At 40.2% G+C, this 15736-nt stretch overlaps 1 long non-coding RNA gene across 1 annotated transcript in view; it reads left to right on the top strand.

Moving 5' to 3' along the window:
- Positions 1-15736, top strand: part of LOC339975 (uncharacterized) — a 201531-nt gene that overhangs the window by 185218 nt on the left and 577 nt on the right. The window contains exons 2-4 of the long non-coding RNA NR_038931.1: positions 10718-11214; positions 13127-13290; positions 14695-15684. This is a non-coding gene — a long non-coding RNA (uncharacterized LOC339975). The remainder of the gene's footprint in view (positions 1-10717; positions 11215-13126; positions 13291-14694; positions 15685-15736) is intronic.

Below are 15736 nucleotides of genomic sequence, written 5' to 3'. Positions count from 1 at the left end.
GGCATTTAGTGCTATAAACCTTCCTCTCAACACTGCTTTAGCTGTGTCCTAGAGATTATCATATGTTATATCTTTGTTCTCATTAGTTTCAAAGAATTTCTTGATTTCTGCCCTAATATTGTTGTTTACCCCAAAGTCATTCAGGAGCAGGTTGTTTAATTTCCATGTAATTGTATGGTTTTGAGTGATTTCGTTAGTGTTGATTTTTGTTTATATTGTGCTGTGTTCTTGAGTGTGGTTGGTATGATTTCAATTATTTTTTTTAATTTTCTGAAAATTATGTGATGGCCCATTGTGTGGCTGATATATGGTATGTGCCATGTACAAATGAGAAGAATGTATATTCTGTTGGTTTTGAGTGGAAAGTTCTGTAGATGTCCATTACTTCCTTTATTTGTTCAAGTGTCAAGTTCAGGTACTGAATATCTTTGTTAATTTTCTGTCTCAATGATCTGTCTAATACTGTCAGTGGTGTTTTGATGTCTTGCACTATTATTGTGTGGTTATCTAGGTCTCTTTGTAGGTCTCTAAGAACCTGCTTTGTGAATGTGGGTATTCCTGTGTTGGCTGCATATGTATTTAGGATAGTTAGGTCTTCTTGTTGAATTGAACGCTTTATCCTTATGTAATGCTCTTATTTGTATTTTTGATCATTGTTGGTTTAAAGTCTGTTTTGACTGAAATTAGAATAGCAACCCCTGCTTTTTTCTGTTTTCCATTTGCTTGGTAGATTTTTCTCCACCCTTTTACTTCGAGCCTATAGGTGTCAGTGCATGTGAAATGGGTCTCTTGAAAATAGCATACCTTTGGGTCTTGCTTCTTTATCCAACTTGCCACTCTCTGCCTTTTAATTGGGGCATTTCACCCAATTACAAAGTTAATATTGATATGTGCAGATCTGATTCTGTCATGTTGTTAGCTAGTTATTATGCAGACTTGATTGTGCAGTTGCTTTGCAGTGTTGATGGTCTATGTACTTAAGTGTGCTTTTGTGGTGGCCAGTAATTTTTCCATATTAAGTACTTCCTTAAGGGCCTCCTATAAGGCAGATCTGGTGGTAATGAGTTCCCTTAGTATTTGCTTCTCTGGAAAGAATCTTATTTATCTTTTGCTTATGATGCTTAATTTGGCTATCTATAAAAATCTTGGTTAGAATTTCTTTTCTTTAAGATGCTAAATATAGGCTCCCAATCTCTTCTGGTTTGTAGGGTTCTGCTTAAAGGTCCACTGTTAGCCTAATGGGGTTCCTTTTGCAGGTGATCTGCTCCTTCTCTCTGGCTGCCTTTAACATTTTTTCTTTCATTTTGACCTTGGGGACTCTAATGACTATTGTATTGATGATGGTAAGCTTGTATAGTATCTTGCAAGGATTCTCTGCATTTCCTGAACTTGAATGTTGGCCTCAATAGTGAGGTTGGCAAATTTTTCATGGACAATATCACCAAAATGTTTTCCAAATTGTTTGCTTTCTCCGCCTCTCTTTCAGTGATGTCAATGAGTCATAGATTTGGTGTATCTACATAATCCCATATTTCTTGAAGGTTTTGTTCACTCTTCTTGATTCTTTTTTTAAATTTTTGTCTGATTATTTTAAATCATATATTTTTTGAGTTCTAAGATTATTTCTGCAGCTTGGTCAATTCTGCTGTTAATCCTTGCCATCATATTATGAAATCTCGAAGTGAGTTTTTCAGCTCTATCAGATCAGTTTGATTCTTTCTTAAAATGGCCATTTCATCCTTCAGCTCCTGGAAAATTTTATTGTATTCCTTAGATTCCTTGGATTGAGTTTCAAAGTTGTCCTGAATCTCGATGATCATCATTCATATCCATAGTCTGGATTCTATTTCTGTCATTTCAGCCACGTTAAGAACCATTGAGGGGAAACTAGTGCCATTGTCTGGAGGTAAGAGGACACTGACTTTTTGAGTTGCCAGAGTTCTTGTACTGGTTCTTTCTCATGTGTGTGAGTTGATGTTTCTTCAGTTTTTGAAGTTGCTGTCTTTTGGATGGAGATTTTTTGCTTTTATCTCTTTTGATGACCTTGGGGTTTTGCTTGTGGTATAAGGTGGGTTCAATCAAATGGCTTCATTTCTGGAAGATTTTAGGGGGCCAAAGCTCAGCTCAGCACTCCCAGGGTGTGTACTCTAACTCTGGGAGCTGGTACCAGGCCCCTGCTTTGTTCTCTGTCTGTTCCAGGTAAGGAAGCTGCTGTGCTGGAGGGGCAGAGATGTTCCCAGTCTGCTGGCCACAACACTTTGTTGGGTGGTACCCACCAAGGCACTTTGTTGGGGCTTTGAGATCCATGCTTGCTCATGTGTGCCAGCAGCTGTGTTGTGGGGAGGTGCACACGTGTTAGCTTCTGGGGGGTACCAGCAGTAACAGGGCTGTGGTCTTCCCGCATGTGCATGCACTGGCAGCGGCAGGGGTGGTTCATTGGCGGGGGCTTGGCCATGAGCATCTGCATGCGTGTTTGCACCAGTGGCAGCAGCAATGGTGTTGGGGTGGGGTGGGGGGTGTCGATGTCCATGAGTGCATTTTCATGGATCATTAGGCAATTTAAGCTTCAGTCCTCTTCTCAGAAAACAGTGATAATAATTATATTGACCTCACTGAGTTTCTTTGAAGATTAAATGAGATGATCCATACAAAGAATTTGGCACAGTGCAGAACATAGAGTAGGTATAAATAATTATTAGAAATTATGGGCCTGGTGCAGTGGCTCACACCTGTAATCCCAGCACTATGGGAGGCCGAGGCGGGTGGATCTCCTGAGGTCAGGAGTTCGAGACCAGCTTGGACAACATGGTGAAACCCCATCTCTACTAAAAATACAAAAATTAGCCAGGTGTGGTGGTGGAAACCTGTAATCCCAGCTACTCGGGAGGTGGAGGCAGGAAAATCACTTGAACCCTGGAGGCAGAGGTTGCAGCGAGCCAAGATTTCTTAAGGAAGCCTGAGTTGTTTATGTTTTGGTCTATTAAGAAAAGAGAGATCGTTGGTAATAACAAACTGAAATAATGAACATAGCAGAAAAACACAAATCAGTTGTAACTGAAAGTTTCCAACAGTTGGAACATATTTCCTGTTTTCAGGGTATAGAATTTATAAACGTAACAAGAGAGAATGTAACTGGAAGATTCTGAGTCAGGCCCTGTATTTCTCCTCAAACACACACAATTGTCCTTTAAGATTTTTAGAAATTCTGCAGAAAAGTTATATCATCATGAAGAGATAACGAGCTCTTAGTCTTTTTTTTTTGTATAAAATAAATGTTTCTGAAAGCTAACTCTCATCAACATGAAACTGAAATTATTAATGAGCTCTTGAAAATACACATAAGGAAAAATAATCCCATGTTCATCTTTCTTATCTGGCCTCAAGGAGAGATCATTTGGTCACAGTTGGAGTCAGCCATCAGCTCCACCATGGAAAGAGATGACCTAGTTCACTTTGGTATTTCTCACTGGAGATTAAAATATATAAAACTTTAAAGAGTGGTATCTGTCTGGATAGATCCATGCAAAGAAATCTATATAAAGACAGAGGTGTATATATATATATATATACACACACACACACACACATATATATATATACACACATATATATGATTAGCTTCACAAAATTGTATAAAAGTTGTAATAAATGCATTTCATATGCATGCATTTTATTTACAATCTTATAATTAAAATTACATAAACATTTTATTATAGACTTTGTTATTTCCAAAAAGAAAATACAATTTTTAAAAAGTCACCTTAGACTTATATTTCATGAATTTTTCCTTTTCTTCCCATCTGGGCAAAAATTGGGACCAGACTTAATTATATTCTATGATATTTAAAAAAAAACTCTTGAGTAATGAGATTATAGCAATGAAATGTCCTAAGTTGATTACAGACTGTTGCTCCCCTCTTTACTTCCCTAACCCCGAATTCTCAGGGACTCACCCAGAGCAGCAAGATAATAGCAGCAGAAGCTACCTCGTGGTAGGGGGAGGCTCCAGTATCAATAGGTGTAACTGCTGGTAAGCAGAGGAGTAATCATCGCTCTTTTTGCTGGAAATCAGCTGCTTCTGGAGTTGACTTCTACTTTCAGTCATCTCAGCCCACTCAGAAACTGACCTAGAAAATGGCATTGTCAATACTTTGCTAGTCTGAACTTCATTGTTGGCTATTCACTATGTAGATGCTTGTGCTTACAGAGCAGTTGCAGGGAGATAGAGTGACAAGTAGAAAATGATAAAAGGGTGTCATACCACAAATTGATATAAATGTACACCTAAGTCCTCAAGTAAGTGCTCAGTTGGGGAGCTGAGTGTGTAAGGGCTGAGGTATTTGAGAGAACGCTCCGTTGCTGATGTGATACAGTTGCCTGAAGTTTGGGTGGAGTTAACACAGGTGAAGAGGGGGCAAGTTTAAGTAGAGTGTGCACCTTGGGGAGTCAAAAAATATATTGTTGAATGCATACGGTGGAGCGGAACTGGAGAGAGAATTGACAACCAGACAGAGGAGTCTGGGGATTGATAAAGCAGAAAATTGGGGAAATTCACATATTTTTGAGTAAGGAAGAGGCCTGATGAAAAGCTATACGCCAACATTAATAATAAAACCCCGATATGCCAATGTATAAACACACTGAAGTGTTTGTGCATTCTTATATTGTAAATATATCTTGAATAAAAATATTATTTGTTGAGCCATGCACAAGTATGTTATTGGTATTATTTTTTTCCTTTCTCCTTCCTTCCTTCTCTTTCTCTCTCTCTCTCTCCTCTCTCTCTTTTTAATGGAGTTTCACTCTAGTTGCCCAGGCTGGAGTGCAGTGGCGCAATCTGGGCTCACCGCAACCTCCGCCTCCCGGGTTTAAGCGATTCTCCTGCCTCAGCCTCCTGAGTAGCTGGGATTACAGGCATGCATCACCACGCCTGGCTAATTTTGTATTTTTAGTAGAGAGGGGGTTTCTCCATGTTGGTCAGGCTGGTCTCGAACTTCTGACCTCAGGTGATCCGCCTGCCTCAGCCTCCCAAAGTGCTGGGATTACAGGCATGAGCCACTGCATCTGGCCGTTACTGGCATTCTTGAGAAACCCATAATCTCTCAATATACATTACCATAAAAATTAACAAAATAGATTCTTCAATTTTTCTTTGTAATCATTCCACTCATTTGTTAATTCCAGCAATGGCCATGACAGGTCCAACTACAAAATCAGTATGACAAAGGTAAACAAAGTGACAGCTGCCGTATTTGTGGGCATTCAGTCAAAAAGCCGTTGGTACTCCTTTATTTTTGGTTTGAAGTTACATCCTTACTTTTCTTGTTTGTTTGTTTTGTCCAACATCTCCCAAACCTCTGGTAGCCACCATTCTCTCTACTTCTATGAGTTCAGCTTCTCTCAATTTAATATGCAATTATGTAAGTAAGATCATGCAATATTTTTCTTTCTGTGCCTGGCTTACTTCAAATAACATAATGTCCTCCAGGTTTATCCATGTTGTCACAAATGACCAGATATCCTTCTTTTTAAAGGTTGGATAGCATTGTATTGTGTATATATACTACATTTCTTTATTGATTCAACCATTAATGGACACTTAGTTTGACTCCATATCTTGGCTATTGGGAATAATGCTGCAATGGACATGAGAATGCAAATACCTGTCATACAGAGCTATTGACTTTCCTTTGGATATATACCCACTAGTGGGATTGCTGGATCATATGGTAGGTCTATTTTTACTTTTTGAGGAAGCTCTGTACAGTTTTCCATGACGTCTGTACTAATTTACATTCCCACCAGCAGTATGCAAGGCCTTCGTCTTTTCTACATCCTTGCCAACATTTAACTTTCATCTCTTTGATAAAAGCCATTCTAACAGGTGTGAGCTGCTATTTTGTTGTGGCTTTCATTTGCATTTCTCTGCTGATTAGTGATGCTGAGCATCTCTTCATATGCCTGTTGGTTATTTGCAAGTCTTCTTTTTCCGTATACTTGCTGGCCTTTTGTATGTCTTATGCTATCTCACACCACATACAGAAGTAAACTCAAAGCAGATTAAAGACCTAAATGTAAGGCCTGAAACTATAAACCTGCTGAAGCAAAATATGGGGGAAAAGCTCTATAACTTTGGTCTGAGCAATAATTTCTTTTACATGAACCCAAAAGCACAAGCAAGAAAATAAAAAAAAATAGACAAATGAGATTATATCAACTTTAAATGCTTCTGCACATCTGAGGAAACAATCATCCAAGTGAAGAGAGAACCTGTGGAATAGAAGAAAATATTTGCAAACCCTACATTTAATAAGGGATTAACATCTGAAATATACAAGAAACAACTCAATAGGAAGAAACCAAACAATCCAATTTAAAAATGAGCAAAAAATTTGAATAGACATTTCTCAAAAGAAGACCATGTATATCTGAGGTCCAAAGACATATAATTTAGAGAAATCTAAAGAAGGCTATGATCTAAAGTAATCTGGTAGATAGCTTAGGAAAACTTGCCTTTCAAGTAAGACAGTAACAGGGCTCTGGTTCCCAAGCAGACAATGCCAGGCAAAGCATGCAGGTGGATGCTGAAAGGAATTCATGGCTGTGACAAGAAGAGGAATATGAATCTCTAAATCCTTAGTGAGCCGGGAAAAAGGCATAATTGTGGATGGGCGCGGTGGCTCACGCCTGTAATCCCAGCACTTTGGGAGGCCGAGGCGGGTGGATCATGAGGTCAGGAGTTCAATACCAGCCTGACCAAGATGGTGAAACCCCGTCTCTACTAAAAATACAAAAATTAGCTGAGCTTGGTGGCATGCACCTGTAATCCCAGCTACTGGGGAGGCTGAGGCAGGAGGATCGCTTGAACCCAGAGGGCAGAGGTTGCAGTGAGCCGACATCATGCCACTGCACTCCACCCTGGGGGTGACAGAGTGAGATTCTGTCTCAAAAAAAAAAAAAAAAAGCATAATTGCTACATTGTGAGGTCTGGCTCACACCTATATTTGCCGAAAGAGAACTCTAGCCAAAAATGCAAAATAAGAAGTGACTTTCTGAAAATCTTGCATACATTTATATTACTATATGTCTTAGGTATTCTAAAGTGCTAAATAAATTAATTTTTTATGAATGAATAGTTTAAAATAACCTATAATTAAATGGCATATGATAAAAGCACTGATATGCATAAAATGCATATTCATCTTTAGTTAACTTTTCGAACAGTTGCAAAAAGTCCAATTTTGTGGTTTAGTTGCTTAGTGTGCCTAAGATGAATATTTCTTGCATCACAACAGATACTCACAGGCATCCTCTATTTATTATTCTTTCGGTTACTGTAAACGGTAATTGGGACAACTGGAACTCATGTTCTTAAATCAAGGCAGAAACCCCTTTGAAGCAGCAGAGACTATGTTGTGGGTCTCCCCTTTTAGTGCTCATTTTAAAAGACATTTTGGTTCATCTTTAAGATTTAAAGGCTACTGATATGCAGAATCATAATAAAATAGATGTTTCAGTGTTCGTGTGGAACGTTTCTGTAATTGGGTTTTAATTGAACTATTTTAAATGGATATTTCAAAACCTGAGTGGCTGTTTTAATAATGTGCTCCAATATGCAGCTGATTATGTCTTTATTCCTATTGGATTGTCAGGGAATTTAAACTTCTATCAGGATTTGCTGGTCACTGCTTCCTTGACATCCTCTTTTTGTTCCCTGCACAGGCATTCCAGCAGTAACTTTGATAAGACTAATAACCAGGAAACAAAACTATAAAGCCATATTACGTGGCCTCAAATAAAAACTTTCATATAACATATTATGTCCACATTTTTAGGATGGCAAACATTGCTTTTGGTTCAGAGAGAAGCCTACCATCTGTCACCTGAAGAGCAGGCACAACAGCAGTTGCTCTGAACACAAATACTCCTTTTTAAGATACAATCTACTCTGATGTGTTAGAGGAGAAGAACAACCTAGGGCACACAGAGGAGTCTACTGTCTAGCAAAAGTCCAGTCCCTTAATCATTTCATCCCTTTTTATTACTCTGAACTCAGGGTTCTAACAAGGATTGTACAGACTCTCAGAGAGATGCACTCCAGATCTCCGAAGATGAGAATTGGACTAACCAAGATGGTGTCCCTGTTGCTAAAGCAAACTCTGGTTTGATAACACAGGCCTAGCTCATATTATTGTATGTCAGTCTATTGTGCTTTGCAGATATTACATTTCTTACAGATTGAAGGTTTGTGGCAACCTGGCCTCAAGCAAGTCTATTAGTGCCATTTTCCCAGCATGTCCCGCTTCATATCACCATGTCACATTTTGGTAATTCTTGTGATTTCAAATTGTCGTTATTATTGTGTTTCTTATGATGATCTGTGATCAGTGACCTTTGATATTACTATTGTAATTGTCTTGAGGCACCATGAACTGCACCCATGTAAGACAAAGAATTTAATCCAGAAATGTTGCATGAGCACCGACTGCTCCACTGACCAGCCATTTTCCAATCTCTCTCCCGCTCCTCAGGCCTAAGACACAACGACGGGAATTAGGCCAATTAATAACCCCACAGTAGCCTCTAGGTTTTCAAGTGAGAGGAAGAGTCACACATCTCTTACCCTAAATCAAAAGCTAGAAATGATTCAGCTTAGTGGGGATAGAATGTCCAAAGCCAAAACAGGTTAAAAGCTGGGCCTCTTGCACCAAGCAGTTACCCACGTTGTGAATCCAAAGGAAAAGTTCCTGAATGATATTAAAACTGCTACTCCAGTGAACACACAAATGGTAAGAAAGCAAAACAACCTAACTGCCGATTTAAAGAAAGTTTGAGTGGTCTGCACAGAAAATCAAACCAGCTACAATATTTTCTTAAGCCGAAGCTTAATCCAGCACAGGGCCCTAACTCTATTCAATTCTATGAAGCCTGAGAGAGGTGAGGAATTGGCAGAAGAAAAGTTTCAAGCTAGCAAAGGCTGGATCATGAGGTTTAAGAAAAGAAGCCATCTCCATAACATAACAGTGCTAGGTGATGCAGCAAATACTAGCGTAGAAGCTGCAGTAAGTTATCCAGAGGATCTACCTAAGATCATTGATGAACGTAGCTACACTAAACAACTGATTTTTAATCTATACAAAACACCCTCCTACTGAAAGAAGAGCCATCAGAGGCAAATGGCATCTCCTATTTAAGAAGGCTTTCATAACTGGAAAGAAGTCAATGCATGGCTTCAAAGCTTCAAAGGACAGGCTGACTTTCTTGTGAAGGGCTAATGTAACTGCTGTATTTTTTTTTCAAATTTCAAAAATATTTTATTTCATTTTTACTAGAGACAAGGTCTCACTATGTTGCCCAGGCTGGTCTCAAACTCCTGGGCTCAAGCAATCCTCCCACCTCAGCATTCCAAAGTGCTGGGATTACAGGCATGAGCCACAACACCCAACCTAGCTCGTTACTTTTTAAGTTGAAGCCAATGCTCATTTACCATTCTAAAAATCCTAGGACCCTTAAGAATTATGCTAAATCTGCTCTTCTTGTGCTATGTAAAGGGAACAGGGAAGCTAGGATGTCAGCACATCTTTTAACAGCATGGTATACTCAATATTTTAAGCCCACTGTTGAGAACTACTTTTCAGAAAAACAAAAAGGATTCTTTTCAAAACATTACTGCTCTTTGACAATGTACCTGTCTTAAGAGCTGTGATGGAGATGTACAAAGATATTAATGTTGTTTTCATGTCTGCTAGCACAACATCTATTCTGCAGCCCATGGATCAAGGAGTCATTTCAACTTTCAAGTCTTATTATTTGTGAAATATATTTCATAAAGCCACAGCTGCCATAGACAGTGATTGCTCTGACGCATCTGGGAAAAGTAAGTTGGAAACCTTCTGGAAAGAATTTAACATTTGGGATGCTATTCAGGACATTCGAAATTCATGGGAGGAGGTCAAAATGTCAACATTCACAGGAGTTCGGAAGAAGTTGGTTCCAACTGTCACAGATAATATTGAGGGATTGAAGACTTCAGTGGAGAAAGTAACTGCAGATGTTGTAGAACTAGCAAGAGAACTGAAATTAGAAGTGGAGCATGAGGATGTGACTGAGTTGCTGGAATCTCATGATCAAACTATAACAGATGAGGAATCGCAACTTATGGATCAGCTAAGAAAGTGGCTTCTTGGGACAGAATCTTCTCCTGGTGAAGATGCTGTGACATTGTTGAAATGACAACAAAAGATTTAAAGTATTACATAAATTTAGTTGATCAAGCAGTGGCAGGGCTTGAGAGAATTAACTCCAATTTTGAAAGAAGTTCTAATATGACAAAAATGCTATCAAGCAGCATCATATGCAACAAAGAAATATTGTCTGAAAGGAAAAGTCAATTGATGCAGCAAACTTCACTGTTGTCTTATGTTAAGAAATTGCCACAGCAACCTTAACCTTCAGCATTCAACACCTTGATCCGTCAGAAGCCATCAACATAGAGGCAAGATTCCCACCAGAAAAAGATTATGACTTTGCTGGAGGCTCTGATTGTTGGTTGCATTTTTAGCAATGAAGTATTTTTAATTAAGGTATGTAGAGTATTTTTTAATAATGCTACTGCATACTTAATAGACTACAGTACAGTGTAAACATAGATTTATATGCACTGGGAAACCAAAGTCTTCGTGTGACTCACTTTATTGAAATGTTCTCTTTATTGCAGTGGTCTGAAATTGAACTCACAATATTTCTGAGGCATGCCTGTACTGCCCTCTCCCAAGAATGCCTACGTGACCAGCCCTCAGACTGGATCTTCTGCCTCCAAATTATGTTTGCAGTTCATGTAGCAGGCATGACAGACTTCGATTCTAATAGTTGCCTTCTTGCAATCTCTAGTAGCTGCAGCAACCTCCCACTGCAGATGTCTATTGTGAATCTGGGCCCCTGGCCCTTGGTCTACATCTCACGTACATTCAGCCTTCTTGCACTTCCAGCCTCTTCTCCTTGTGGCTCTCTTGCCCTGTCACTTTGCTTATGTGCACTGTGGCCAAAGCTAAGGCACCAGGGAGCATCAAGAAAAGACAAACATCTGTGAGTTGGATATGTGCCAATATTGATATTCTCTTATACCTCAATGCCCTGTGCTAGAGTGTCAGAGAGGAAGCGCAGAATGCAGCCATACTTCTTTTCAACCTACTGGTCAAATTTGGGTGGTTCAAGGTAATATACCCATTTTTTTATGTCTAGATGCTACACTGACATTATGATTAAAATACATTAATTTGTAGGAATAGATTAGATGTAAAACTTCAGAACATAAAAAGTACATGTGGTATCTTGAATCTAAGTTGCACTCCAGAATGCTATGTATAATTCCAATAAAACAACGTAAACAATGTACAGTGTTACTTGGTTTGATAAAATGGATAAGAGGAGGAGGCCTGGAGCCCAACTACCCAGGTTCAAATTCCAATTCTACTATTTTTACTAATTGTGTGTGACCTTGGACAAGTTCCTAAACTTCTCTAAGGCCTAGCATCCCCAGCTGTGACAGGGTAATGTTGACTCTGTCCTAGAATTGCTGTGAAGATTTAGTGAATATCCCTGGGCAAGTACTCAGGACATCTTACCTATCACTGTTTCTAGATCTAACAATAAAGCTTGAGCACATCAGCATGAATAATTGCTAGAAAAATAATTTTGAATCAATTAATGGCAAGTAAAATGCATGCTATGAAGAAAAGCACAAATAAGAATCTGGTGAATAGCTTCAATACACAGATCATAAATAGAAAAGACAATTCAATGACTTCTAAATAAATGTACTCAGCACTACCCAGCATGTTGCCTCTACCGAGGCTCCAGCATCTGAATGTCCAAAGCCTTCACTTTTAAGCTCCTTCATTGTGAAACCTCTAAAGCTGGCTTTACAAACTTGTTCTTTTGTCTCTTAATTTTAAACTTCCCCATGTACTGAGTCTGCAGTGCCTAGCAATCCTTCTTTCATCTGCCAAGGGCATTTCTGTTTTCTTCCTATGTCTTTACCAACAAGGGGAATTTGGAAATTAATATCTTCAATTTTATTCACAATAAATATTTCACTCCTTGGAAAAAAAATGCCTACATTATCTATACTAAAATGACACCTTCTCGACCCCAGCATAGAACCCAGAAAGGACAAATGATTTTTAAAGTTTATTACTTAAGGTGGACTTAGAATTCAGCAGGAAAAAACTACTACACAAAGACAACCAAGACAAAATTAGATTAAGTTCCCAATTTATTTAGCCAAATATATAGGCAGACGTGGTTCACATCAGAAGGGGTATTGCTTGATCAGAGTATCTCAGTTTCCTACTATTCCTCAGCCTTTTTATACCCATTCAGGAAGAACATCCTAAAAGTTTGCACACTTATGGGCAGACATCAGTGCCTCTCTTGATACTTTGTTGAAACCAATGATCAACAAGGCTACATCTTCATTTAGGAGGTAAATGTAGAGTTATTGGCATGGATTTCCTGTCGTATATCTCCTACTTTATAGTATCCCTATCTTCCATTCCTTACCTTTTTTTTTCTCGTACAGAACTATTATATTGGCAGTTTGATTCTGAACTTTGTCTGATCAAAAAATCCAGCTACCCACAAAATGCTACACCCATCCAAAAAGAAAAATATAGTAGGTAATATCTTTAAATATGAGCATTATGTCAGGGTAATTTCATAGCATAAATAAAAGAGATGTAAACATATGCTAAACATTGTGAAAATGGCTATGGTCATATGTACTAGTCTTCTCAGGCTTCCATAACAAAATACTGTAAGTCTGGTGGTCAAAACAACAGAAGTTTATTTTCTTACAATTCTAGAGGCTGAAGGTCCCAGATCAAGCTCCAGCAGACCAGTTCCTGATGAGGGCTCTTTTCTTGGCTTGTAGAGGCAGCCTTCTTGCTGTGTCCTCACATGGCCTTTCCTGTGTGCATCTGCATGGAGAGAGAGAACATTAGAAAAGTACATGTGGTGTCTTGCACACTTAGTAGACTACAGTATAGTATAAACGTAGCTTTTATATGCACTGGTAAATCAAATTCTTCTTGTGACTCACTTTATTGAAATGTTCTCTTTATTGCAGTGATCTGAAACTGAGCTCACAATATTTCTGAGGCATGCCTGTACTGCCCTCTCCCAAGAATGCCTACGTGACCAGCCCTCAGACTGGATCTTCTGCCTCCAAATTATGTGAGAGACTGAGAGCTCTCTCTCTTCATTTCCTCGTAAGGCCACCAAACCCGTCAGGTTAGGACCCCACCATTATCACCTCACTTAACTTTAATTACCTCCTAAAATTCTGGTATCCAAATACAGTCACACTGGGGGTTAAGGCTTCCACATGAATTTTGTAGGGACACAATTTAGTCCCTCGCATGTAATAGCCATATCAGTACCACTCTTATGTAAGTTTATCCAGATAATTGATATAATCTGTTAAATCTATTGTTGGGTCATCCTACTTATGCTATAGCCTTTACCAGACATTCCCTCTTTGACTTCCAAGCCCATTTCAATAACAAGGGAGCACTCTTCCTTACATTTTCCTCCTAGTTGGTTCAGTTAACACACACACAGCATTATTACAACAGTTAGTAAATGAAATCAACAATGCTGCTTTTCTCATAGCGACCAATTTTTTACCCTATCCATGCCAATTCTATTTTCTAAGATTTGAACCTGATGCACTTTTGCTATCAAGCACCATGCCTACATTTGACACTAAGATTCTGAAGTTGTTCATTCTGTCCTTCTGAGATCTGGAAGACGGGCCACAGGGGCTGTCTCATATCCTCACATGTTCACATTTCATGTCTGAATCTCAAGCTTCACACACTTCTGAGATTTGGAAGATGGGCCACAGGGGCTGTCTCATATCCTCACATGTTCGCATTTCATGTCTGAATCTCAAGCTTCACACACTTCTGAAGGCTCACTGATTTGTCAAGGAAAAGGAGTACATTATTTGATTTAATTATGGCCATCATATTTGACTCTGTCTCCCTGAGGCTTTTTGGTTTCCAACCAGTATATCGCTTCTGATTTCCCTCTCTCACCATTATGTTTTCTGAATAGGTCTTCTCTTCCTGTCATGCTAATTAACACCCCCCACCACCACCACCTCGCTTCCAAGCACATATGCTCTCTCATTTCCAGGACGTATTCCTCCATTACTGCCATATAGGGACCTCTTTCCAGAAGAAAGAGATCACATCTCATAGGCCCAATAAACCACTCACCAACAGGAACTTTTACAGAACTGAAAGGAGCCTTCTGACAGAAGCCAAGCCTATTATCCTAATTGCAGGCAATACAGCTTGGAGCCTTCTGAAAGATTTTCTAGAAAAGCCACTGCAAACTACCTTGACCTTCCTCACAGGCCCTTATGATAAGAGTAGACCACTAAAATTGATAACTAAATTATGACTCATCATAGGTGTCAGGGAAGTCTAAACCCAGCAACCATTTTAGATGGCTCTGAAGTATTTGGGGGATAGTTTTAAAAACGTAAGTACTATTTGAATAGTACTTAATGAACTTTAGTGAAAAACATTGGAAAGAGTATTTAGAAACCTCATTATTATTAACTTTTACACTATTGTGACTTCATTTAAAATACTTTGTTAAACTGAGAATGTCTTTCCCTTCCAGCACCTACTTACCTGACCATTGTCTCAACTACAGCTGATGGGATCCATGACAGAAGCTTAACCAAAACTAGCCCATGAGATTGTTTTTCTCAGGAATGTAGAAATGAGGCAGAGGTTAGCCACTGTCCGTGTGCTCTGGAGCTAAACGCATGTAAGTGTAAGGGTTCTCTTCTGTCCTAAGCTGACACAGGCTGCAGAGAAAAGTGGTTGATGCTGCCAGTCAGAGAGAAGCAGATGAAGGAGCCATGCAGCCTGGAAGGCGAGAGGAGGGCCAAGAAAATGAGCTTGGTTTCCAACGGGTTCCGCAATTGCTATTTTCGGTGGCTGCTGAGCCCAGGTGCTGTTTCTTCACTTGAGCTCCATGACCCTCCCTGTGTGGTGGGTTGAACGGTGACCTCCAAAAGATATGTCCACCTGGAACCTCAGAATAAGATCTTATTTGGAATAGTCTTTGTAGATGTCAGTAAGGTAAAGATTTGGAGATGAGACCCTCCTGGATTAGGGTAGGCCCTAGGTCCACTGGCAGGTGTGCTTCTCAGGGTCTGAAAGGGGAAGACAGGGCCACCCAGAGGAGGAGACGGAGGCAGAGACAGGGCCACCCAGAGGAGGAGACGGAGGCAGAGACAGGGCCACCCAGAGGAGGAGACGGAGGCAGAGACAGGGCCACCCAGAGGAGGAGACGGAGGCAGAGACAGGGCCACCCAGAGGAGGAGACGGAGGCAGAGACAGGGCCACCCAGAGGAGGAGACGGAGGCAGAGACAGGGCCACCCAGAGGAGGAGACGGAGGCAGAGACAGGGCCACCCAGAGGAGGAGACGGAGGCAGAGACAGGGCCACCCAGAGGAGGAGACGGAGGCAGAGACAGGGCCACCCAGAGGAGGAGACGGAGGCAGAGACAGGGCCACCCAGAGGAGGAGACGGAGGCAGAGACAGGGCCACCCAGAGGAGGAGACGGAGGCAGAGACAGGGCCACCCAGAGGAGGAGACGGAGGCAGAGACAGGGCCACCCAGAGGAGGAGACGGAGGCAGAGACAGGGCCACCC

Source organism: Homo sapiens, chromosome 4 (genome assembly GCF_000001405.40).
Source record: "Homo sapiens chromosome 4, GRCh38.p14 Primary Assembly".
Lineage (NCBI taxonomy): Eukaryota > Metazoa > Chordata > Mammalia > Primates > Hominidae > Homo > Homo sapiens.
This window is presented reverse-complemented; position numbering and strand designations above follow the sequence as displayed.